Raw genomic sequence first — 26877 nt, forward strand, 5'->3', positions numbered from 1 at the left:
TTATGTCCTCGGTGTCTTAACACATCCAGCCCAGTTTTCCAAGCTGGCTGTTCTTCTCTGTCTGTTGTAACTCAGTTTTCAGCTACTATGCTCCCTGCTTGGTAAATTTTATGAATGCCACATAGCTTATATCTTAAGTCAAACGATTCCAAATTTACCCTATGCATTTGATAAAAATCCAGCCAGCCATTTTTATATAAGAAAATAGGCCAGGTGCGGTGGCTCATGCCTGTAATCCCAGCACTTTGGGAGTCCAAGGCGAGCAAATCACTTGAGGTCAGGAGTTCGAGACCAGCCTGGCCAACATGGCGAAACCCTGTCTCTATCAAAAATACAAAAAAATTAGCCACGCATGGTGGCATGTGCCTGTAGTCCCAGTTACTCAGGAGGCTGAGACAGGAGAATCACTTGAAACCCGGGAGGCAAAGGCTGCAGTGAACTGAGATTGCGCCATTGCACTCCAGCCTGGGTGACAGAGCAAGACTCCATCTCAAAAAATAAATAAAAGAAATAAAAAATAACAGACAAGTGAACAGACATTTGGTTCTCAGTCCCACACTCCCGAGGTAAAAAGCCTGCTTTTTTTTTGAGACAGGGTCTCTTCCACTCTGTCACTCAAGCTGGAGTGCAGTGGCATGATCTCGGCCCACTGCAACCTCAACCTCCTGGACTCAAGCCGTCCTCCTGCCTCAGCCTCCCAAGTAGCTGAGACTACAGGCGAGTACCACCACGGCCAGCTAATTTTGTTTGTTTTTTATAGGTTCTCACTATGTTGTCCAGGCTGGTCGTGAACTCCTGGACTCAAGCAATCCTCCCGCCTCAGCCTTCCAAAGTGCTGGGATTATAGGCCTGAGCCACCGTGCCTGGCCCTCAAGGCCCCTTTTTAATAGCAAAAAAAAAAAAAAAAAAAAAAAAAATCACCAACTGTTCAGTGGCTGGTGGCTGTGTTTTTAGATCTGCTCATTAAGATCTCCATAAGGACCACAGGCTGCTACAGACACAAGAAATACTCTGGAATGAATATCAGAATCACAAATGCATCTCTTTACATTTAGAAAATAGTCATGCTACAGACAGAAAATGCTCTTCATGAGGTGGATTAATTCCAGGACTCTGGGATCAGGGTCAGGCTCCTGTGGGTGTCCGCAGCTTGGAGATGGGGATCCAGGGACCTGAGGCATCCAGCAGGATCACTGTGTACCTGGGTTATACCTGGGTGAGCACCCAGGGACCCCAGGGTGGGTGCTCTGGTGGGAGAAGGGCGAGACAGAAGGGGAAGCACAAGAAGAGCCTTGCTCTCTCAGGCCCACCTCCCCAAGAGAAGATGGAGCACGAGCTCCGCCATGGCTTTTGGCTTCAAAAGCCTCTGGCTGGGCACGGTGGCTCATTTTGGGAGGCTGTAATCTCAGCATTTTGGGAGGCTGAGGCAAGTGGACCACTTGAGCGCAGGAGTTCCAGACCAGCCTGGCCAACATGGCAAAACCCCGTCTCTACTAAAAATATAAAAATTAGCTGGGTGTGGTGGTGCATGCCTGTAAACCCAGCTACTCGGGAGGCTGAGCCAGGAGAATCGCTTGAACCTGCAAGGTGGAGGTTGCAGTGAGCTGAGATCGCACCATTGCACTCCAGCCTGGGCAACAGAGGGATACTCTGGCTCCAAAAAAAAAAAAAAAAAAAAAAAGCCTCTGAGCTCCCACCCGGGCATCTCAGCTCTCAGCTCAGCCAAAAGCTTAATGATTAACATTATATCAATAACAAACAGATGCAGAGAACTTTCGGGTTTAAAATCCGCTTTCATGTCCATTGTGCTTGTTGCTCCCCACGATGGCCCAGTGTGGTAGATATTGTCACTTTTATGTTACAGATGAGTATGTTGATGAAATCAAAAGGTAACATAATGTGGCCAAAGTCACACAGCAGGAAAATGGAGACTCAGGGAACTTGAAACGCTGGAGATTCACTATTTCTCCTTCATGACTATCACAGGCCCACCTCTGCAGCCTCTGCAGTGCTCTTTCCTGGGAATACTTCTTGCCACTTAGCACACATTTGTAGACACGCAAGCGTACACACACACACACACACACACACACACACGGTTTCTTCTCCTTCCTGGCCCAGCAAACTGTTAAAGTCAACATATGAGGCCCTCCGATGACAAGATCTGAAAAATCCAACTCCTGACAATTCTCCCCACTTCTGGATCAGACCCAGGTCATGGCTAGGATGGGTGGTGAGGATTGAAGAGGAGAAAGCCACACCTCCTGAGCTCCTGGCCCTGACAGGTACCTCCCTCGGGCATTTTTTCTGTCTTTACTTCTCAGAAAGAGGCTGGGGAGAAAGTTCCTATTATTCTCACACCATGAACCTGAGATTCAGAGAAGTGAGAGGACCTCCCAAGGTCATGGAGCTGGAGCTGCATTTAGAGCCAGAAAGGCCACAGGCTACAGGAGTAGCTGCCATCCCCCGGTCTGAGGGACTGGCTGGGCGGGTCTCACCTCTTGGAGTTGCACATGTAAAGGGGGGATGCAGGGCCACTGACCCTTCCTCTTCTTTTGGGTGACAGACCATCAAGAAGGAGGAAAAGGTGCTGCCTAAGAAGTATACCATCAAACCCCCCAGGGACCTGTGCAGCAGGTTTGAGCAGGAGCAAGAGGTGAAGAAGCAGCAGGAGATCAGAGCCCAGGAGAAGAAGCGGCTGAGGGAGGAGGAGGAGCGCCTCATGGTGGGTCCTCAGCCCTGAATCCCCTGGGCTCAGCTATCGAGAAAGGACTGCTAGGGATGGGAAAAGAGGCATAGGTCATGGAGGGGATGTGTGTATGGACCCCCCAACTAGGTCCACCTCACAATCACCCCCAACCTCTACCTGGCCCTGCAGGAATCTCCCACTGGTGGTCAGCCAGCTTCTCATGATGGACTCCTAACATCAGGGCACTGTACTGCCTGGGGCAGCCCATTCTATGCTAGGCAGCTCTGGTGTCCTCTTTGCTCTAGACTCTTACTGGGGATATACCTGCATACACCCTCCCATCCATTCATCCTCCCATCTCTCCTCCCATCCATCCTCCCATCTCCCCTCCCATCCATCCTCCCATTCGCCAATCCATCCATCCATCCATCCTCCCATCCATCCTCTGATCTCTCCTCCCATTCATCCTCCCATCTGTCCATCTCCCATCCATCCATCCTCCTACCCAACCTTCCATCCATCCATCCTCCCATCCACCCATCCTCCCATCCATCTGTCCTCCCACCCACCTCCCATCCATCCATCCTCCCAACCATCCATTCTCCCATCTCTCCTCCCATCCATCCTTCCATCCATCCATCCTCCCACCCATCCTCCCATCCATCCATCTTCCCATCCATCCATCCATCCTCCCATTTATCCTCCCATCCATCATCCTCCCATCCATCCATCCTCCCATCCACCCTCTGATCTCTCCTCCCATCCATCCTCCCATCCATCCATCCTCCCATCCATCCATCCTCCCATTTCTCCTCCCATCCATCCTCCCATCCATCCATCCTCCCATCTATCCACCCTCCTACCCACTTATTCTCCCATCCATCCATCATCCCACTCATCCTCCCATCCATCCATCCATTCTCCCATCCATCCTCTCATCCATCCATCCTCCCATCCATCCTTCCATCCATCCATCCTCCCACCATCCTCCCATCCATCCATCCTCCCACCATCCTCCCATCCATCCATCCTCCCATCCACCCATCCTCCCATCCATCCATCCTCCCATTTTGCCTCCCATCCATCCATCCTCCCATCCATCCATCCTCTCATCCATGCTTCCATCCATCCATTCTCCCATCTTCCCATCCACCCATCTTCCCATCCACCCATCCTCCCATCCTCTCATCCATCTATCCTCCCATCCACCCATCCTCCCATCCATCCATCCTCCCACCCACCCTCCCATCCGTCCATCCTCCCAACTATCCATCCTCCCATCCATTCTCCCATCCATCCTCCCACCATCCTCTGATCCAGCCATCCTTCCTTCCATTTCTCCTCCAACCCATCCTCCCATCTGTCCATCCTCCCATCCATCCACCCTCCTACCCACTGTTCTCCCATCCATCCATTGTCCCACTCATCCTCCCATCCATCCATCCTCCCATTTCTCCTCCCATCCATCCATCCTCCCATCCATCCGTCCTCTCATCCATGCTTCCATCCATCCATCCTCCCACCCTCCCATCCACCCATCCACCCATCCTCCCATCCTCCCATCCATCCATCCTCCCATCCACCCATCCTCCCATCCGTCCATCCTCCCACCCACCCCCCCATCCGTCCATCCTCCCATCCATTCTCCCATCCATCCTCTCACCATCCTCCGATCCATCCATCCTTCCTTCCATTTCTCCTCCAACCCATCCTCCCATCCGTCCATCCTCCCATCCATCCACCCTCCTACCCACTGTTCTCCCATCCATCCATTGTCTCACTCATCCTCCCATCCATCCATCCTCCCATCCACCCATCCTCCCATCCATCCATCCTCCCATCCACCCATCCTCCCATCCATCCATCCTCCCCTCTCTCCTCCCATGCATCCTCCTATCCATTTTTCCTGCCATCAGTCCTCTCATCCATCCTGCCAGCCATCCTCCTACCCATCTCCCATCTCTTCTTCCAACTCCACACTCCTATCCTTCCTCCAATCCTCTTTCCCCACTCCCTTCTTTCCTTTCCTTCCATAGAGTATTCCTTGAGCTTCTTTTCTGGTCCAGACCTATTTATACATAACAATGAACAACAAGACAGTCACAGTTCTCTCAGAGGGAGGCAGATAAGAAAGGTACTTGGTCTCCCATTTCCTTTCTGTGGATGAAACCTCACCCAAAGTCATAACATATAAAGCCGGTAACCCCCAGATGCCCAGTGCCCCAAAGAGTCCGATTTGTAAACCACAGATCTAGTCAGACTCTCCCATTGTTTTGATTTTACAAATGGGCTCAGTGGTTGGGTGATGGGAGGGGAGATGGGCCGTCACACTCCGGTTGATGGTGCAGTCTACATCAGAACTCAGCTCTCCTGCTGGTTCCCCAGCCCCAGGGAGATGTCTGGGCCCCTGACACTCCTCTTCCAGCCATCTGACTCGTAGTCACCCACCTTTCCTTGGCAGGAAGCGGAGAAGGCAAAGCCGGATGCCCTGCACGGCCTGCGGGTGCACTCCTGGGTCCTTGTGCTATCGGGGAAGCGCGAGGTGCCTGAGAACTTCTTCATCGACCCATTCACAGGACATAGCTACAGCACCCAGGATGAGCACTTCCTGGGCATCGAAAGCCTGTGGAACCACAAGAACTACTGGATCAACATGCAGGATTGCTGGAACTGCTGCAAGGTGCCTAGGGAGGGGGAGCTGGGTGGGTGTGGCAGGCACAGTGCAGGTGATAGGAATAGAGGGAAGCAATGGCAGCCAGACCTTGGGGAGAGCGAGACACCAGGCCACGAGGGCTTTGAACCTTCTCCATAGCTGCGTCTCCATGGCCCACTCCCTTGCCCATGAATAACCATTCTGATACGATTATTGTCTCTCCTGATTTGTGTATCCTTCTAAAGTGTGGATTGTTTGAATGCATTTTTTAAAAACTCTATATTGAAGTGTAACCTACATGCAGAAAAGTACACTCATCCCATGCATACATACAGTTCAGTGAAATCCCACAAATTTAACACACCTTGGTTTCCTACACCCAGACCAAGAAATAGAATATTGCCCAAACCCCACAAAGTCCCTTTGCACAATTACTATCTTCCTCCAAATGTATTTTTAACTCACGTATGTGGCACTGGTACACACACGCGCCTACAAGAGGGTACAGAGGAGGTCACAATCCTAAGTGTACATACCATTGAATTATCACACACTGAACACACCTGTGTAGCCAGGACCATTAGAAGCCCCCTCATGTCTCCTCCTGGCCACCAACCCTACCATCGTCCCCAGAGTTAAGCACTATCTTGACTTCTAACGACATCCATTAGTTTCATCTGTTTTTGGAGTTTACATCAGTTGAATCACACAGTGATTCAATACTCTTACTCTTGGATTCCTTCACTCATTATGTTTATGAAATTCATTGTGGTTTTTTGTGTGGTTTGTTCATTTTCATTTTTTATTACTTTCCATTATTTGAATACACCAGAACTTATTTGTCCTTTCTACAGTTGCACATTGAGACTGTGTCCAGTTTGGGACTATTTTGAATAATGCCGCCATGAATATTTGTATACATATATTTCAGTGAACACATACACACATTTCTGTTGGGTAACTACTGAGGGGTGGAATCGCTGAGTCACAGGGTGGGCACATACTCAGTTTTAGTAGATACTGCCCGATTTCTCAAGTGATTGCATCCATTTACACTCCCACCAGCAATGTATGAGGGTTCTCAGAGCTCCATCCACATCCTTGCCAATACTGGATACTTTCTTTTCCATTTTAGCTATTGTAGTGGACATGTAATGGTATTGCACTGTGGTTTTATTTAATGCAATTGATTTTTGGCTGAGTGTGGGGGCTCACACCTGTAATCCCAGCACTTTGGGAGGCTGAGGAGGGTGGATCATTTGAAGTCAGGAATTCAAGACCAGCCTGGCCAACATGGTGAAACCCCGTCTCTACTAAAAATACAAAAAATAGCCAAGTGTGGTGGTGGGCACCTGTAATCCCAGCTACTTGGGAGGCTGAGGCAGAAGAATTGCTTGAATCTGGGAGGCGGAGGTTGTAGTGAGCCTATATTGCGTCACTGCACTCCAGCCTGGGCGACAAAGCAAGACTCTGTCTCAAAAAAAAAAAAAAAAAGCAATTGCTTTTTGCAAACTGTTCACATATCCAGTAAGTTTTAAACCTGCTTATTCATTTTAAAAATTAATCTGTAAAGACTTTGGGGTTTTCTGCATATACAATCAGTTCTATAGCTGAATGATGGCCGTTTTGTTTCTTCATTTTTAATCCTTATACTTTTTCATTTCTTTTTCTTGTTTTATTTCTCTGGTTAGTACATCCAGTATAATGTCAAATTGAAGTGGGGATTCTGAACATCCTTGTCTCAGTCCTGATTCACAAGTAACGCCTTAGTATCATAACATTTCACTATTTGTGTGATGTTTATCTTGACTGTAGGGTTTTTATAGCTAGCTACCCTTTATTTAACTAAGGGATTTCTTTCTCAGTTCACTAGCAGGTTTTTTTTTAATCAAACAAAATTTGTTTATATCAAATGTTTTTTTCATCTATTAAATGATCATAATTTTTTCTTCTATTAAGTGGTAAATTAGACTGATTGTGTTCCCCCCTTTTTAAAATTGAGGTGTAATTGACATAACATAAATCCACTAAAGTGCACAAGTTAGTGGCTTTTAGTATATTTACAAGATTGTGCAACTATCACCACTATCTAATTCCAGAATTTTTTCATCACCCCAAAAGAAGATTTTTATTTTTGAGACAGGGTCTTCCTTTGTTGACCAGGCTGGAGTGCAGTGATGCAATCACGGCTCACTGCAACCTCTGGACTCAAGCAATTCTTCCACCTCAGCCTCCCGAGTAGCTGGGACTACAGACTGCAGGCATGTGCCACTATGCCCAGCTAATTTTTGTATTTTTTATAGAGACAAAAAATGGGTTTTGCAATGTTGCCCAGGTTGGTCTCAAGCAAGCCACCCACCTTGGCCTCCAAAAGTGCTGGGATTACAGGCTTGAACCACTGTCCCGGGCCCCAAAAAGAAGATTGTGGTTGAGATTATACTGGATCCATAGATCAATTGAGAGAGAACCGTTTTCTTAACAATATTGAATTTTTCACCCATGAACCATGGTATCTCTCTTCAGTTATTTAAGTCTTTTAAAATTTCTATCAGCAACATTTTGTAGGTTTCAGTGTACAGTTCTTGCACATCTTTTGTCAGATTTATTCCTAAATATTTCGCTTTTTGATGCTATGATTTTTTTAAATTTCACCTTCTGACTATTCTTTGTTAGTGAATAGAAATGCAGTTGATTTTTACATATTGATCTTCTATCCTGAAATCTTCCCAAATTCACTTATTTGCCCTAATAGCCTTTGCGTGGATTCCATCAATGTTTATACAGATAATTATGTTATCTGTGAATAAAAACAGTTTTACTTCTTTTCCCATCTGGATGCTTTTCTTCCCTTATCACACTGGCTGGAATCATCAGTAAATGTTAAACAGAAGTGATGAAAGCAAACCTGTTTATTCCTGATCTTACGGAGAGCATTTAGTCTGATACCATTAAGTATAGTATTAGCCACAGGTTTCTCTTATTGGTTCCCATTATCAAATAAAGGAAGTTTTTCTCCAGTCCTAGTTTGCTGAGAGTTTTTTCAGAAATAGATGCTAGATTTTTGTCAAATACTTTTTCTGAGTCTATTGAGATTATTATGATTTTTCTTTTTTAGTTTATCTACATGGTAAGTTACTTGGATTGATTTTGAATGTTAGACTAACCATGGTTTTCCTGGGATAAACCTCATTTCATTGTGATGGTTAAATCTTTTATATATTATTGGTGTTGAACTGAAAATTTTGCTTAGAATTTCTGTATCTTTGTTGAAGAGAGATATTGTTCTGTAGTTTTCTTAGAATATATTTGCCAGGTTTTGGTATCACAGTAATGCTGGCCTCATGGAATGAGTTGGGAAGTTTCCCTTTTCTTCAGTTTTCTGGATGAGTTTCTGTAGAATTGGCATGATTTCCTTTGTACGTTTGCTGGACTTCACAAGTGAAGCCATCTGGGGCTGGAATTTTCTTTGTGGAAGGATTTTAAGGTACAAATTCAATAGGAAGACTCAAGCTGTTTTTGAGTGAGGTTTGGTGTTTGTATCTTTCAAGAAATTTGTCCATTTCATTTGTTTTCAAATTTATTGTTATGAAAGTGTTCAAAATAGCTCCTTATTTTCCTTCTAATATGTTAAAGTCTTTAGTGACATTACCCCATTCATTCTTAATATTGGTAGTTTGTGTGTTCTCTCTTTTGCTCCTGATCAATCTGGTTAGAGGTTTATCAATTTTGTTGCTCTTGATGCAGGGGCAGGCCCCAAAATCAGGGCTTTGCCAGTGAGGATTCGTGGCTTTTTCCAGGAAAGAATTCAAGGGCAAGCTGGTGGTGTTAGAGGCAACTTTACTTGAAGTGGCAGCGTACGGCAGCAGCAGATGGACTGCTCCTTGTGGAGCAGGGCTACCCCATAGGCAGTGTGCCCAGATTGTAACCACCCAAGGGGTTCACCTTGCCAGCTGCCTAGACAGAGCTGATTCAAGACTGGGGAATTGCAATAGAGAAAGAGTAATTCACGCAGAGCAGGCTGTGTAGGAGACCAGAGTTTTGTTATTACTCAAATCAGTCTCCCAGAGCATTCGTGCATTCAGGGAGCAGAGTTTTTAGGGACAACTTGGTGGGTTGGGGGATGCCAGGGAACCAGGAGTGCTGATTGGTCAGAGATGAAATCACAGAAAGTCAAAGCTGTCTTCTTGCACCAAGTCGGTTCCTGGGTGGGGCTCACAAGATCAGATGAGCCAGTTTATCCATCTGGTGGTGCCATCTGATCCATCAAGTGTAGGGCCTGCAAAATATCTCAAGCACTGATCTTAGGAGCAGTTTAGGGAGGGTCAGAATCTTGTAGCCTCCAGCTGCATGACTCCTAAACCATAATTTCTAATCTTGTAGCTAATCTAGTCCCTAAGCAAGAAGGAGGTCTGCTTTGGGAAAGGGCTGTTATTGCCTTTGTTTTAAACTATAATAAACTAAGTTTCTCCCAAAGTTAGTTCAGCCTTCACCTAGGAATGAACAAGGACAGCTTGGAGGTTAGAAGCAAGATGGAGTCGATTGAGATCTCTTTCAGTGTCTTAGTCATAATTGTGCAAAGGCGGTTTCAAGAGTAGCGGCTCAGAGGCAGTTCCACAGTCACATTTATATCCACTTTAATCATATGCAAATTAAGGGGCAGATTATGCAGAAATTTCTAGAAATAGAGTGGTAACCTCTGGTTCACTTTGTCATTGCCATGGAAAGGTGTAATTTCTGGGTGTTGCCTTGGCCCCGTTTTAGCTAGTCCTCAATTTGGTCCAGTGTCTGAGCCCCCAGCTTGGAAGTCAAGTCCCACCTTCTGGTCAGTAAGTCCCACCTTATTGTCAATAAACCAGTTTTTGGTTTTGTGGTTTTTCTCCGTTGTTTTTGTTTTCTATCTCATTGATGTCCACTCTGATCTTTATTATTTTATACTTTATGCTTACTTTGAGCTTCATTTACTTTTTTCTAGTTTCTTAAGGTGGAAGCTGAGATGATTCATCTAAGACTGTTTTTTGTTTTGTTTTTTTTTTGAGACAGAGTTTCGCTCTTGTTGCCCAGGCTGGAGTGCAATGGCGCGATCTTCACTCACTGCAATCTCCACCTCCTGGGTTCAAGCGATTCTCCTGGCTCAGCCTCCTGAGTAGCTGAGATTACAGGCATGCACCACGCCCAGCTAAGCCTGTTCTTTTCTAACATAAGCCTTCTTTCTCTCGGAAGTACTACTTTAGTGACATCCCACACATTTTACTCTATCATGTATTCATTTTCTTTCCATTCAATATGCTCTCCAATTTCCCTTTTAATTTCTCCTTTAATTCATGGGCCATTTGAAAATGTGTTTAGTTTACAGATATTTAGAAACTCTCTAGAGATATTTCTATTGTTGATTTCTAATTTAATTCTGTAGTGATTAGAGAATATAACTTGGTATGACTTCTATTATTTTACACTTGCTATAGTTTGTTTTATGGACCATAATATGGTCTGTCTAGGAAATTCACCAAATTCTTAATATAGTGAATTTTCTGTGTGTACTTGACAAGAATGTGTATTTTGCTGTTGGGTGGAATGTTCTATAAATGTCAATAATCTCAAGTTGATTGGTAGTGTTATTCAAATCTTATATATCTTTGCTGATTTTCTGCCTACATTTCTTTCAATTATTGACAACATTATTGAAATGTTGGGCTACAATTTTGGATTTCTCTATTTCTTCTTTCAGTTCTATCAGTATTTGCTTCATGTATTTTGAAGCCCTGCTATTAGATGAGTAAATGTTTGAGATTGTTATGTCCTCATGATGAATTAACCTCTCTATCGGTATGAAATAATCAGCTTTATCCCTAGTAATATTTTTCATTCTGATGTCTATTTTGTCTGATATTAATATAGCCACTGGAGCTTTGATTTGTATTAGCATTGGTTATCCTCTTTGCAGAACTGTGAGTCCATTAAACCTCTTTTTCTTTGCAAATTACCCAGTCTCGGGTATGTCTATCAGTGCTCTTTCGTTGTCTCGAAGGCACTCTGTTTCTGACCAGGCCAGTTTCCCTTGGGCCCTTTTTAAGGTGACCCTGAGGAACGGCTCGCTCATTTGTTTGGTGGCTTGGACTGTCTGTCCATCTGCATGGCGGACGTAGCCAGTCTGCTGCTCCTGAACTCCCGTCTCACCATCCTGTCCCAGCTGCCCTCATGGTGTATGAGCCTCTTCCTGCAACAACAGGTCAGAATACTTTGGGGCAGCAAGTAGGTCAGCTACCTGGTCCCTTTAGTTACACTCAGTACATTGCCAGCATTGATGGGAGGTGCAGGTTGTTCACAGGCTTAACACCAAAACTGCCTGGGAGTCCATGGTCAAGTTTTGCAGTAGTCAGGACCTGGAAATGTACAGAAAGCTGTCTCATCTTCCTTTGACCGAGTTATCATGGAGATAACTCAAGTGATAATCACTCGTTCTGTTGCTACCGCCATCACACATCCCTTCTGCATGATTACTGAGATTTGTGGTACAATTCACTGACAGAGAGTCCAAGTACTGTGAACTTTGTGACTCCATAGTAACCATCTATTGAGAAGAAGGCATCCTAGGATTTCTCATGTGTCTTATTCCTCACCTCCTAGGCAACATCATTTCTTTATGGCTCTGTAACTCACTGGCCTACCTCATCAATACCTATGCACTCTGGTGGGGCATGGCGGCTTACGCCTGTAATCCTGATACTTTGGGAGGATGAGGTGAGAGGATCGCTTGAGCTCAGGAGTTTGAGACAAGCCTGGGCAACAAAGTGAGACCTCGTCTCTATAAAAAAAAATTCAAAAAAATTAGCCAGGCATGATGGCATGCACCTGTAGTCCCAGCTACTAGGGAGGCTGAGGTGGGACGATTGCTTGAGCCCGGGAGGTCAAGGGTGCAGTAAGCCATGATTGTGCCACTGCACTCCAGCCTGGGCAACAGAGAGAGAGAGTCTCTCTCTCTCTGTCACACACACACACACATACATATGCACTGGACAGTGAGGTTTCTATCGGGAATGAAATGAAGAGTATGAAGAGTTATTCTCAAGATGTCACAGCACTGTTTGCCAGTATGTTGACCTATCCCTTTGTGCTTGTCTCTAATCTTATGGCTGTCAACAGCCATGGGCTTGCTGGTGGACCCCCTTCTTCCTTCCCAGTATATACTACTTGCATACATTGCTGGTGCATGCTACAAAAAGAGGGAAATATGAGCCGAGGAAATAGCTTGTTTTTCCCAAAGCATCCCTTTGGGAAGACTTGTTGTGACCTGAGAATGCTAATTTGAAGATGTAGGGCAGGACAGTGACATTTCTATAGTCCCAGATGCACCAAATTATGGGAGACAATGTTGATTTCTATATAGTTTTCCACACTTTTATTTTATTTTATTTTTGAGACAGACTCTTGCTCTGTCACCCAGGCTGGAGTGCAGTGGCGCGATCTTGGCACACTGCAATCCCCGCCTCCCGGGTTCAAGTGATCTTCTCACCTCAGCCTCCTGAGTAGCTGGGATTACAGGCATGCACTACCACAAGTGGCTAATTTTTTTGTATTTTTAGTAGAGACAGGGTTTCACCATTTTGGCCAGGCTGGTCTTGAACTCCTGACCTCAAGTGATCTGCCCACCTTGGCCTCCCAAAGTGTTGGGATTACAGGCATGAGCCACTGTACCTGATGACCTGCTTTTTTAATGGTCATTTAGTCTTGGGGAATGAATAAATAAGTAAATAAGTGTCAGAGGGGCGACTGCCAGCCCCTGCGGGAGACAGGCAGACTTGATGCATGATTGCTTTGCCGGTTGCTCTGTCTTTGTGAAGAAGTCAGAAGCTCTGAGATGAGAAACTTCTGCCTTCAGCAAAGGAGATGCCTCTCATCACTCTGCCTCCCTTAGGCACTGATTCCAGGGTTGTGGGAAGTAACACTCAGTAGATGCTTAGAATAGTCTCTAGCTGTTCAATAAATGTTAACTATTGTTGCTCCCATCTTACAGGTAAGGAAACTGAGGCCAAGTAAAGTGAGATCATTTCTCCCACGCCACACAGAGGGGGCAGAGCCGACACTGCCCTCCCCCAGGGCCTGGGCTCATAAGCACCATGGTGGTCGGTGTCCTCTGAAGGATAACAGCCCTTCAGAGGATGCTACAGTCCTTCAGCCCCTCTTCCAGCCTGAATGTCCTCATCTCATCCATCAGGCTCCGAGGTGAAGGTGGAAGTGAGGCCAGAGGGGCAGTGCTGTGCCAAGTGAGGGCATGAGGAAGAGATGATGGCATAGGCTGTCACTTTTACCAGCACACGAACATTGGAGCAGCTGCTTTGTTTCTTCAAAGAACCTTGAAATAGCGAGGGGTTGGAGGAGGATGGCAAGGCATCCACAGAGTGACTGCCTGGCGCAAACGTACCCTGGGCACATGGATGTGGCTGTTGTCCATTCAATTATGCTTTTTCTAAAGAAATAGAACTTAAGTTAAAGTAACAAAGCATAATATCTAACTACTGCTTACACTGGTTTACAAAAGTAACAAAATTTAGGCCAAGAGTGCGAATAGGTTGGCCGGGCACAGTGGCTCACGCCTTTAATCCCAGGACTTTGAGAGGCCGAGGTAGGTGGATCACTTGAGGCCAGGAGTTCAAGACCAGCCTGGCCAACATGGTGAAACCCTATCTCTACTAAAAATACACAAATTAGCTGGGTGTGGTGGCGGGCACCTGTAATCCCAGCTACTCAGGAGGCTGAGGCATGAGAATCGCTTGAACCCAGGAGGCAGAGGTTGCAGTGAGCCGAGATCATGCCACTGCACTCCAGCCTGGGCAACAGAGCAAGACTCCATCTGAAAAAAAAAAAAAAAGAGTGAAAAAAGGCAAATATCTATACAATTGGGTTCCTATCCACTAAGCCCATTAAGCTTTGCCACAGTCGCTGTGACATCTACCAGCAGTTCTCTCCCCAACTCTCCTCTGCTGTGCCCCCCACTTCTCTCCCCTCCACCCACGAGCTAGGGCAGAGAAATACTCAGGAGCCCTCCCAGGACCCACACATGACAGTGAGTACTAGGCTTAGAGTTGGCTTCAGGACAGCTTAATATTAACACCCCTCCAGGCAGCTGTTCTGCAGCCTCTGATTTCCTCTGGAACATGATTTAGGGTGGGGAGAACACCTTGCTCTAGGAAGGTTGATTAGAATGTGAGGTGCTCCCCACCTTCTAGGAATTATCTGACAGATGAGCCACTTTTATTGAGGGGACTGAGGACTCAGGTGGGCTGGGTGAAAAGAGGTCAGGAGTTTGAGACCAGCCTGACCAACATGGTGAAACCCTGTCTCTACTAAAAATGCAAAAATTAGCTGGGCTGTGGTGGCGAGCACTTGTAGTCCCAGCTACTCAGGAGACTGAGGTAGGAGAATCACTTGAACCGGGGAGATAGAGGTTGCAGTGAGCCGAGATCATACCACTGCACTCCAGCCTGGGCAACAGAGGGAGACCCTGTCTCAAAAAAAAAAAGAAAAGAAAAATAAAAGAAGGTGGCAGACACACTCCATGGAGGAGAAATTCCCACCCACCTGCTGTTTTTTTTTTTTTTTTGGAGAGACAGGGTCTTACTCTGTCTCCCAGGCTGGAGTACAGTGGTGTGTTCACAGCTCGCTGCAGCCTCAACTTCCTGGAATCAAGTGATCCTCCTGCCTCAGCCTCCCAAGTAGTCAGAACTACAGGTGCATAACACCATGCACTGGCTTAAAAAAAAAAAAAAAGGCCAGGCACGGTGCCTCATGCCTGTAATCCCAGTACTTTGGGAGGCCAAGGCAGGCGTATCACTTGAGGTCAGGAGTTCGAAACCAGCCTGGCCAAAATGGTGAAACCCCATCTCTACTAAAAATATAAAAATGAGCCAGGCATGGTGGCATGTGCCTGTAATCCCAGCTACTCAGGAGGCTGAGGCAGGAAAATCGCTTGAACCTGGGAGGCAGAGGTTGCAGTGAGCCGAGATCACGCCACTGCACTCCAGCCTGGGCGACAGAGTGAGACTCTGTCTCAAAAAAAAAAAAGAAAAGAAATTGTGGAGATGGGATCTCCCTTTGCTACCCAGGCTGGTCTTGAACTCCTGGGCTCAAGTGATCCTTCTGTGTTGGCCTCCCAAAGTGCTGGAACTACAGGCATGAGCCACCATGCCCGGCTCTCCACCTGCATCTTATGTATAACTTCCACGTGTGCCTGCCTATTTCCCTTGTTCCTGGCATGGGTAAAATAAACAGGAGGAAGCCTTTTTAAAAAACCTTCCACTTCCTGGGAGTTGCTAGACCCTTCTGCCATCAAATCTTGCTGGTTTGTTTTCATTGGCTCTAAGCACTGCCCAGCCGATGCGGAAAGACCTGCACATCCAGGTCTAGCCCAGGCCAGAGAGCCTCCTTGTCTTTCACAGAGGTCAACACGAGATTTCCTCACAGGGAGGCTGAATGATGGGCAGGGAGTTCTGCTCCCCCTCGGGGCCTCAGTTTCCCTGTTGGGATGAGGAGTGTGGGCATGGACTCTCAGAGCCACCTGGGACTGACGTTCTGCTTCCCCAAGCCCTGGGCCCAGGTCCCTTCTCTGCCCCGGAGTAGCCATCTCCCAACTCCCCATGGATCAGGTGGGGACGTGGTGGCTGTGGGGTACACTCAGTTGACTGCCCTCATCCCCAACAGGACTTGATCTTTGACCTGGGTGACCCTGTGAGATGGGAGTACATGCTCCTGGGGACTGATAAGTCTCAGCTGTCCTTGACTGAAGAAGACGACAGTGGGATAAACGATGAGGATGATGTGGAAAATCTGGTGAGTCTCAGCAGCTCGAGAGCCCAGGGAATGTGTGTGAAGGCTTCAGGGAGCCTGACAAGTGTCCCCAGCAGCATATGTGTGGCAGTGGGGGATGGCCCAAGTAGACCAGTGATGGGTTCCTCAAAGCAGGAAGGCTTGAGCAATTCCCTTATTTTACAGATGGGCACATTGAGGCCCAGAAAGGCCAGAAACCTACCCAGGACCTCCCAGTGGGTTACGGAAGGGACAGGACTTGACGTCAGGTCTTCTGCCCCCCATATCGTCCACCTTGTTCAGGAGTTGCCCTGCTCCTTTGGAAAGCATGTCCCTTGCCAGCCTGGGCAACATAGTGGGACCCTGTCTCTACAAGAAAATTTAAAAATTAGCTGGCTGTGGTGGCATGCACCTGTTGTCCCAGCTACTTGGGAGGCTGAGGCAGGAGGATCACTTGAGACTGGGAGGCCGAAGCTGCAGTGAGCCATGTTCATGCCACTGCATTCCAGCCTGCGCAACCCCACCCCACCACAAAAAATAAAAATAAAAATAAATTTAGAAAAAGAAAGTTGCAGAGCGGGGTCATAACACCCCGCTCTGCAACCCCCTGGGAGTCCCAGAGCTGGCTGTTCTCAGTTCTATCCCAAGTAGCCATCATGAGCCCCACATGCTGCCAGGCCTTTCTTGTCTGTTCTGTCAGTTCCTCTGAATGTCGTTGGCCAGGGCCTTACCCACATCACCAGCCTCCCTTCTCTGAATTCAGTTTCAGCCTTTATGTGAAATGGAGGCAGAAGGATCATAGTTGTATTCATAGTAATTCTAATAAGTGCATTCGTCTGGCATCACAAAGCACCACAGATGCGGTTGCTTAAATGACAGAAATTAATTTTCTTACAGTTCTGGAGGCTGGAAGTCTGAGATCAAGGTGTGGACAGGGTTGGTTCCTTCTGAGCCCCCTGTCCTCGGCTTGTAGATGGCTGTCTTCTCCCTGTCTTCACATTGTCTTCCCTCTGTACAAATCTATGTCCTAATCTGTTCTTATAAGGACACCAGTCATTTTTCTTTTTATTTTTTTTTGAGACAGGGTCTCCTCTGTTGCCCAGGCTGGAGTGCAGTGGCACGATCATAGCTCACTGCAGCCTCGAACTCCTGGGCTCAAATGATCCTTCCACTTTGGCCTCTGGAGTAGCTGGGACTACAGACACACACCACCATACCCAGCTAATTTTTGTTTTTCAGAGAGACATGGTCTTGCTATGTTACCTAGGCTGGTCTCGAACTCCTGGGCTCAAGAGATCCCCTTGCCTTGGCCTCCCAAAGTGTTGGTATTACAGGCATGAGCCACCATGCCCAACCAACACCAGTCATATTGGGTTAGGGCCCACTCTAATGAACTCATTTTACCTTAATCACCTCTCTAAAGACCCTGTCTCTAAAAACAATCATTCAAACAGTAAGTGATCAAGACAACAACAACAACAAAGAAAAAATAAGAAAAATAAATAAAACAAATACAGTCACTTTCAGGGCTTAAAACTTCAACCTATGAATTTTAGGGGGATGCCATTCAGCCCGTAGCAAAAGGTAGCACTCACATGGTCCTTACTAAGCACTGGGATCCATTGTATCTACTTAACCTGAAGTAACTCATTTAAATCCCCACAGCCACCTGGTGAGGTGGGCACTGGTATTACCACCTGTGATTAATATTATCCCATTTTACCGATGGGAAGACTCACACACAGAGAGGTTAAGTCACTTACCCAAAGCGATACAGCTGGTAAGTGACAGAGCTGGGATTTGAACCTACACAGTCTGGCTCCACAGTCTGGGTTCTCAATGGTAACTCTGTTCTACCTCCTGGGGCTGCTTGATGTGATGTGCTTGGCACAGCAGTGTAGACCATCTCAAAAGGGTGCTAAATGTTCTCAGCATCCTCATCTCCAGAGACTGGGGACATCTTGTGTGCAGTAAATCCAGGCATAGGTGCCCCCTGCTGGCCTTGGGGCATGGACCAGCCAGGGCCTGAGAGCCCAGCCCTGCAGGCAGCCGGCTGAGCACCCACATGGCTAATAATCAAACAGTTCCAGTCACAGAGTCCTGGTCCACCCTGGCCCAAGAGCCCTCATTACAGCAAAGACGGACAGAGGGCAGCCCAAAGAGTCAGAACCCAGTCATGGACCCCCAGGAAAAACCAGACCCCGGGTGACAGCCCACCCACCTGACCATCTTAGAGATTTTTGACAATACTAACTGCTGACTGCTCACTCATTTTTGTCCCCTGCAAAATGTCACAATTAGATAAACAGTTGTCAGAGGTATGAGCAATGTTTGTGGAAAAAAGGTTTTAAGTCGAGAAAGTCTTATCCAAGTTTCTGTGATTATCTAGTTTGAGGACCATTTATCTAGATCGGGCCTTATTTCACAAATGGGGAAATTAAGGCTCAGAGAGGAAATAATAATAGGCCGGGCATGGTGGCTCATGCCTGTAATCCCAGCACTATGGGAGGCCAAGGTGGGCATATCATTTGAGGTCAGGAGTTCAAGACCAGCCTGGGCAACACGGTGAGACACCACCCTCCTCCCCCGGCCGTCTCTACTAAAAATACAAAAATCAACTGGGTGTGGTAGGTGCATGCCTGTAATCCCAGCTACTCAGGAGGCTGAGGCAGGAGAATCACTTGAACCTGGGAGACGGAGGTTTCAGTGAGCCAAGATTCACTGCACTCCAGCCTGGGCAACAGAACAAGACTCCATCTCAAATGATAATAATAATAATAATGTCAGCCAATCAGAGCCCCAAGGCCTTTACAGACATTATATCATTTAATCCTCCTAAAAGGTCCAGTTTACAGTTAAGAAAACTAAGGCTTAGAGCAGTTAAAGGACTTGCCCAGGACCCCTTAGCTGGTCTTGGAGAGAGGGTGGGGCTTGGGTACCCTGACTCCAGAAACACCTCTCTAATCACGAAGGGCCTGCAGCCAGGGCAGGGGGTGCTGCTGTCCTAAGCCAGGCAAGTATAGGGAAGGGCTCCCTGCCCAGAGTCGACTCCTCCTTTTCCACATCATGGGTCGTGCTCATGACCTCCAGTTCCCCTGCGGAAGCCAACGGACCACCTTGGCTTGGCTCTGCAGGCAGAGACAGAGCTTTGACCATAACTTCTGCTTCAACACCCTGACCAGCACCACCTCCCCCACCCCCTTCTCTCCCATCAGGGCAAGGAGGATGAGGATAAGAGCTTCGACATGCCCCACTCGTGGGTGGAGCAGATTGAGATCTCCCCGGAAGGTATTTTCTATTTGTGTATTCACTTATCCTCTCCAGATCCAGTTCCTGGGCCTCCAGAGAGGTCTGCAACAGCGAGGCAGGGGGACACAGCAGGGAATGCCATGCCCCACATTTCCACCCTTCTCACCTTCAGCTGCACCCTCCCTCCCTCCCTCCCCCCTTCCTGCCACACGCACTCAGCTCTGACCCCGAGGGCCTGACGACCAGTCTGGCACACGGGGCGATGCAGTTCAGTGAGCATGTGTGGGATGATGGCGTGTAGGTGACAGCAAGGCCTGGAAACCCAGCCCATTCCCCTCTCACACTCTTCTACCCAGAGGAGGCCATGGGCAGTGCCCAGATGGTGCGGGGGGTCTCAGGACCGGAGAGGGGCAGGTAGAGAAGGCAGGAGGGCAGGGACTGTCATGCTCCATGTCAATATCTGCTGGTGCCCACCTAGGGAGCACCCAGACCTATGGGGAGGGCATGGGCCACTTCAACAGGGTGGGAAGTGCCAGAGAGGCTGTCATGGGAACCCAGAGGGGGGCGCACCCAGCCCAGCACTGGGGCTAGGGCCTGGGGATGGGTGAGCAGAAAGGGGTACCAGAAGTAGGCTAGGGGTCACCTGGGTGAAGTTTGGAAGGATCTGAAGGAGTCAGTCCAACAAGGGGAGGAGGGGATGACGGTGTTTCTGGCAGAGACCTGTACAAGCAAAGGCCTGGCAATGTGAGAGTGTGGTTGGCTGCAGGGCAGACCCTCTGATGGGGCTCAAATCCCATTCTTGGGTGGATCTGTGCTTCTGCCTGGCCTGAGAACCCCTCTAGGGCTGGAGCCACCCCTGGTGATTATTCTCCTCGGCCTCCCTGGATCAGGCTTGGGGCTGGAGGAGTTCAGTACACAGAGAACGGGCAGTGGATGGATGAATGGCTGGGCGGGGCTGGCCCTCCCTTCCCCCAAACTAGCAAGAAGAGACCACAGCTGACTGTGTCCACAGCATTTGAGACCCGCTGCCCGAACGGGAAGAAGGTGATTCAGTACAAGAGGGCAAAGCTGGAGAAGTGGGCCCCGTACCTCAATAGCAATGGCCTTGTGAGCCGCCTCACCACCTATGAGGACTTGCAGTGTAAGGGGGATTGCTCTGGACATGGGTCCAGGCCAGCCCAGGGGCGGGGGCGGCTTCTACTCTCTCTGGGGTCATTGCTGGCCTCTGTGTGCCTGGAATAAGGGGGGTTGAAGGCTAGGGGAGCTGGCCTGGCTGCGGCAAGTGTCCATCGGCCCCACAGGTACCAATATTTTGGAGATAAAGGAGTGGTACCAGAACCGGGAAGACATGCTGGAGCTGAAACACATAAACAAGACCACAGACCTGAAGACAGACTACTTCAAGCCTGGCCACCCCCAGGCTCTGCGCGGTGCGTGGCTCCCCTTTCCTGGGCCACCCAGGAGCCTGGGGTAGAGGCCTCACACACCCTGTGGCAGGTGGTATGTGGTGGCAGGAACCAGCATACATATTATACATGGGTTCTTGGGCAGCAAGCAGTAGAAGCTGCCCTGCCTCCCTCAGCAAACCCGATGTGTGGGAGGTCAGGGAAAGCTCAGAAATTCTAAGGAAATATAACAAATGCTCCTCCAGGAAAGCTAAAGGGGGCGCCACATACCCGTTCTGTGGTTGGAATCAGGCCGGAACCTCACCATGGGGTCACACGGTGGAGGCCACATTTAAAGGAGGCAGTGCCGGACACAGGGGCTCACACCTGTAATCCAAGCGCTTTGGGAGGCCAACATGGGCAGTTGAGCCCAGGGGTTCAAGACCAGCCTGGGCTATATGGTGAAACCCCATCTCTACAAAAAATATAAAAATTAGCCAGGCATGGTGGCATGTGCTTGTAATCCCAGCTACTCAGGAGACTAAGGCAGGAGAATCACTTGAACCCAGGAGGTCGAGGCTGCAGTGAGCCGAGATTATGCCACTGCACTCCAGCCTGGGTGACAGATAGAGATCCTGTCTCAAGAAAAAAAAAAAAATCCTGACCAAGAAATTTACAAAAGAAAAGCATAGGAGTAATATACATTTTTTTTAAATGATCAACCTCATTTGGAAGTTGATAATAAAAAAAAAGAAACTAATAAGGTCCCTAACCAATAAAGGACCATCTTATAACCCCCATGTTGGCAAAGATGAAAAAAATGGTCCTACTGGGTATGAACAAGTATGGGAGCAACAGTCACTCTGTGTCACTGTTGATGGGACAGCAGATTGGAACTTTTCTGGAGGACAGTTGGGCAAAATATTGATAATGACCATAAAACGTGTACGCTTTTGGCTGGGCACAGTGGCGCACACCTATAATCACAGCACTTTGGGTGGATCACCTGAGGTCAGGAGTTTGAGACCAGCCTGGCCAACATGGTGAAACCCCGTTTCTACTAAAAATACAAAAATTAGCCAGGTGTGGTGGCAGGTGCCTGTAGTCCCAGTTACTTGGGAGGCTGAGACAGGAGAGTCACTTGAACCCAGGTGGCGGAGACTGCGGTGAGCTGAGATCACACCACTGCACTCCAGCCTGGGTGACAGAGCGAGGCTGTGTCTCAAAAAAAAAAAAAAAAAAAAAGTACACTTTTGGGCCCAGCAATTCCACTGCTGAGAATTTATTCTTAGCAAATAATGGACAAGAACAAAAAATGCACGATGCAGATGTTCATCATGGTGTTGGTAATAATCAGAAAAAGTTGTACGCAACCTAAACACCCAGCAATAGGGGACTGGTTCATAGCTAACCTCATCCATAATGTGGGTCTGTCTTCTCCCTGGGCCTGGGGTTGGGCGACCAAGCCAGCAGCCATACTTCCTAGTGCTTATGAAGCTGTCTCCTCCCAACTCCCGCTCCCCACCCAGTGCACTCGTACAAGTCCATGCAACCTGAGATGGACCGTGTCATTGAGTTTTATGAAACGGCCCGTGTGGATGGCCTGATGAAGCGGGAGGAGACACCCAGGACAATGACAGAGTACTATCAAGGACGCCCAGACTTCCTCTCCTACCGCCATGCCAGCTTCGGACCCCGAGTCAAGAAGCTCACTCTGAGCAGTGCAGAGTCAAACCCCCGGCCCATTGTGGTAAGAGCTCGCGGGGGCTGGGGACAGGTCGCCCTCCTTCTCTGGCAGCTGATGTCACCTCTGAATGGTGAGAGCCCTGGCTCTGGGGTGGCATTAAGGCCTGAGACATATCCAAGGGCACCAATGATGAACCAAGCATTTTACCAAATGTATTAGTCTGTTCTCATGCTGCTTTGAAGAAATACCTGAGACTGGGTAATTTATAAAGAAAAGAAGTTTCCTTGACTCACAGTTCTGCATGGCTGGGGAGCCCTTAGGAAACTTAAAATCATGGCAGAAGGGTCCTTTTCACCTTCTGCCTAGTGAAAAGGGTCCTTTCCACCTTCTGCCTAGTGAAAAGGGTCCTTTTCACTAGAATCAGGGCAGCAGGAGAGAGAATAAGTGCTGAGCAAAGGGGAAGCTGCTTATAAAACCATCAGATCGTGGGAGAACTCACTCACTATCACGAGAATAGCATGGGGGAAACCACCTCCATGATTCAATTATCTCCACCTGGTCCCGCCCTTGACCTATGGGGATTACAGTTCAAGGTGAGATTTTGGTGGGGGGACACGAAACTAAACCATATCACCAAATGCGCCATCCTGGGGTTGTCTGGTGTCAGACTGTGCCCTCAGCCATGGGGCCAAGGATGTGTTACTTCCTTATTGTTATACAAAAATACACACTCATGACTAAACATTTGGAAAATATGTAAAAATGTAGAGAAAAGTAAACATATCTCAGAATGGCATCTCTCATATGTTGCCACGGATTATAGGTTTGGTTTTGAGAGTTTTTTCTAATGTAATTGAGATCGGGACCCAGGGATTAGAGTCCCTGTATTACCCACTTAACATGAAATTGTGCATTTTCCCCTTCATGTCATTACAAATTAGTTGGCAACTGTGTGTAATGGCAGCATGCCAAAGAAGCTCTTTCTAGCAGTAAGGGATGTCTAGCAATGGAGTAGGCTGCCTGGAGAGGTGGTGAGCTCCCCATCTCTTGAGGTAGGCAAGCAGAGTCTTGAAGGAGCTGAGGAGGGGCCCAGCACCATATGGGAGTGGAGTGGCCTGGCCCTGAGAACCCACGAAATCCATTGTCTGGCTAGGAGGGGCTATTCCACGTGAATCGCCAAACGACCCCAGACTCCAGTGTCCTGAACGTTCGTTGCTCCTGCCTGCGGGCATGCACAGAAATCTCCTCTCACACGCTCATCCTTTGCTCATCCTTTGCATGTTCTGGCCTCCCAGAAAATCACAGAGCGGTTCTTCCGCAACCCAGCGAAGCCCGCGGAGGAGGACGTGGCAGAGCGCGTGTTTCTGGTCGCGGAGGAGCGCATCCAGCTGCGCTACCACTGCCGTGAGGACCACATCACGGCCTCCAAGCGCGAGTTCCTGCGGCGCACCGAGGTGGACAGCAAAGGCAACAAGATCATCATGACGCCCGACATGTGCATCAGCTTCGAGGTGGGCCTGGGGGCCACGGCGGGCAGGGGTCGGCTGCAGGAGGAACCGGGGCTCTCTGTCTTATTCCAGCCACTTGGGAGAACCAGGATGGGCGCTGGTGAATCCCGGCGAGGAAATTCATCTTTGCTCTTTGGGAAAACCAAAAGTTCCCATCTGGGGACCCTTCTCTTTGAGCTCCTCTGAAAATCTTCCTTTTCCACCAAAAAAGCGAACTCAGCAGGCTAAGACGACTCTGCAGTCCTGGTCAGGGCAAACCTCAGATCCTAGGGAGGCTCTGTGGGAGGGGAAGAGTCTCACTACCTCTGAGGGGCTAGCTTTCCTAGTCAAACGCTCACTCTCCCGGCACAGTCCCCAGCTTTTCTGAGTCTTCAGTTCCTCTTTTATTATTATCTGTATTTTTATAAGTGAGAAAATTAAGGCTCAGAGAGGTTTAGCAACTTGCTCGAGGTCACACAGCTGGAAAGTGGCAGGGGTAGATTTGAACCCAGGTGGTCCTATGCCCCGATCATGGCAGCCTCTCTGTGTTACTAAGGTGGTTGTTGTCCCAGGTGGAGCCCATGGAGCACACCAAGAAGCTGCTCTACCAGTACGAGGCCATGATGCACCTGAAGAGGGAGGAGAAGCTGTCCAGACATCAGGTCTGGGAGTCAGAGCTGGAGGTAGGGTCCTGTGGGAGAGTGAGCAGGTGGGCGGTATCTTTGTTTTTGAGATAGGGTCTCGCTCTATAACCCAGGCTGGAATGCAGTGGCGCAATTATGGCTCTACATCCCGGGCTCAGGTGGTCCTCCCACCTCATCCTCCCAGGTAACTGGGACCACTAGCGCACACCACCATGCCTGGCTAATTTCTTGTTTTTGTTTTTGTTTTTTAACAGATGGGGTTTTTCCATTTTGCCCAGGCTGGTCTCAAACTCCTGAATTCATGCAATCTGCCCTCCTTGGCTTCCCAAAGTGCTGGGGTTACAGGAGTGGAGGAGGGGTGTCTCCATCACGCCCTCCAACACTTCTCATTTCAGGTGCTGGAGATTCTGAAGCTTCGAGAGGAAGAGGAGGCGGCGCACACACTGACCATCTCCATCTATGACACCAAGCGGAATGAGAAGAGCAAGGAATATCGGGAGGCCATGGTCAGTCCCAATCCCTTCTCCAGGCCCCAGCTTTTCCTAGACCCCCCTGGTCTCCAGGGTGGTGGGGACCATGAGGGATTCTGCTGAGAAACCCTCTGTGGGGGATACGGTTATTGATACCATGCGGTCATCCTTGCTGCTGAACTGACCATTTCTATGGTTCATCCCAAAGAGTACTTGGGATTTGGGCAAGGTTTCCCCCCATCCCCAGGGGCTGTAGCCAAGCCAAGGCCTGTGGTTGGGAAAAGAATTAAAATTATGTGCCCACCTCTACTCAGGGCTCCCACTGAGGTTGCACCCTGGGCCAGTGGCCCCAGTGAGCTACCTCTGGCTCCAGGCCTGAGCTCTCCTGCTCTCCAGCACAGGGAGGGCATTCAGGTTACACCTTCAGGTTGCAAGGCCCCGCCTGGTTTTCAGGGCCGGCTTCTGAATCCCTTTCACCAACCAAGTTGAGATTTTAGTTTGGGGGTCGTGAGGCAGGATGGGCATCAGATGACTGTTCTCAGATCCCAGGGGAGGGTGTCAGCCCCCACGTCTCCAACTTCACTGCCCCCTGTCTGCAGATGGAGGACACAGGCCCCAGGGTGGAAAAGAAAAGTGAAGGGAGTTACTGGCAGTTTTTAACTAACATCGTTAATAACCACTACCGTTGACTGAATAAGCATCTACTATGGATTGTCAGGCATCAGGCTGCGTGCTTTACAGACATGATCCTGTCAGATCCTCAGATCCTCAGAGAAGGAAACCAAAGCTCAGGTAGTGAGATACAAATTCATGTAAGAAAAAAAGAGTTGGCTGTCACCAGTAAACACAGGTCCAGAGACCAGCATGTGGGCCCTTCTAAGGCCCATCTTGGAGGCGCCATGCACTGGAACCTGGCTGTGAGGTCTGGCTTTGTGCTGGCACACTGCTGATGCAGAGCTGGTGGAGAGGTCTCTGTAGTTCCTGCTGATCCAGCTATCTGCCCCTCACCTTTACAGGAGCGCATGATGCACGAAGAGCACCTGCGGCAGGTGGAGACCCAGCTGGACTACCTGGCCCCATTCCTGGCCCAGCTCCCGCCAGGAGAGAAACTAACATGCTGGCAGGCGGTGCGCCTCAAGGATGAGTGCCTCAGCGACTTCAAGCAGCGGCTCATCAACAAGGCCAACCTCATCCAGGCCCGCTTTGAGAAGGTGCCACCAGGGCCTTTGTTGGGGAGGGGGGGATCTCAGCATCTGCATCCAGGAAATGGGCCCACGGCTGTCCGCCCACTACCTCACAGGCTTGTGAGGGCCTGATGACGGGATGAATATGTCAATGCTTGGGGTTTCCAAATGACTGAGTTGTTCCTCCTCACACTTGTTTATCGGATAGATGAATCGATAGGGGGATGGATGGATGTAGGTATGGATAGGTGGGTGGGTGGGTGGGTGGATGGATGGATGGATAGATGGGTGGATGAATGCATGGGTAGATGGATGAATAGATAGATGGGTGGGTGGATTGATGGGTAGATAGAGGGATGGGTGGGTGCATGAACAGATGGGTGGGTGGATGGGTGGATAAATGGATGGATAGATGGATGGGAGGATGAATGGATGGGTGAGTAGATAGATAGGTGTATGGGTATAGGTATGGATAGGTGGGTGGATGGATGGGTGGGTGGGTGAGTGAGTGAGTGGATGGATGAGTGGGTAGGTGGATGGATGAGTGGGTGGATGGATGAGTGGGTGGGTAGATGGATGAATGGATGGATGGGTGGATGGATGAATGGATGAGTGGGTGGGTAGATGGA

General features: G+C 48.7%; 1 protein-coding gene and 1 pseudogene across 9 annotated transcripts in view; both read left to right on the plus strand.

The window, feature by feature from the left end:
- The window catches only part of DRC7 (dynein regulatory complex subunit 7), a 37000-nt gene that overhangs the window by 7504 nt on the left and 2619 nt on the right, over positions 1-26877 (plus strand). For 5 of the 9 annotated variants that reach the window (XM_047434768.1, XM_047434771.1, NM_001289162.2 and 2 more), the window contains 11 exons: positions 2567-2725; positions 5151-5369; positions 16038-16166; positions 19358-19430; positions 20404-20532; positions 20693-20821; positions 22306-22526; positions 23759-23974; positions 24523-24633; positions 24990-25100; positions 26081-26275. In XM_047434768.1, the coding sequence (XP_047290724.1) occupies positions 2567-2725; positions 5151-5369; positions 16038-16166; positions 19358-19430; positions 20404-20532; positions 20693-20821; positions 22306-22526; positions 23759-23974; positions 24523-24633; positions 24990-25100; positions 26081-26275 (1692 nt within the window). Of the gene's footprint in view, positions 1-2133; positions 2286-2566; positions 2726-5150; positions 5370-16037; positions 16167-19357; positions 19431-20403; positions 20533-20692; positions 20822-22305; positions 22527-23758; positions 23975-24522; positions 24634-24989; positions 25101-26080; positions 26276-26877 lie in introns of those variants that run through there. The other 4 variants (XM_047434770.1, XM_047434772.1, XM_047434769.1 and 1 more) reach the window with 2 other exon arrangements.
- On the plus strand, positions 11414-12760 carry MTCH2P3 (MTCH2 pseudogene 3; annotated as a pseudogene).

This window comes from Homo sapiens, chromosome 16, assembly GCF_000001405.40.
Source record: "Homo sapiens chromosome 16, GRCh38.p14 Primary Assembly".
In the NCBI taxonomy this organism is placed as follows: Eukaryota; Metazoa; Chordata; class Mammalia; order Primates; family Hominidae; genus Homo; species Homo sapiens.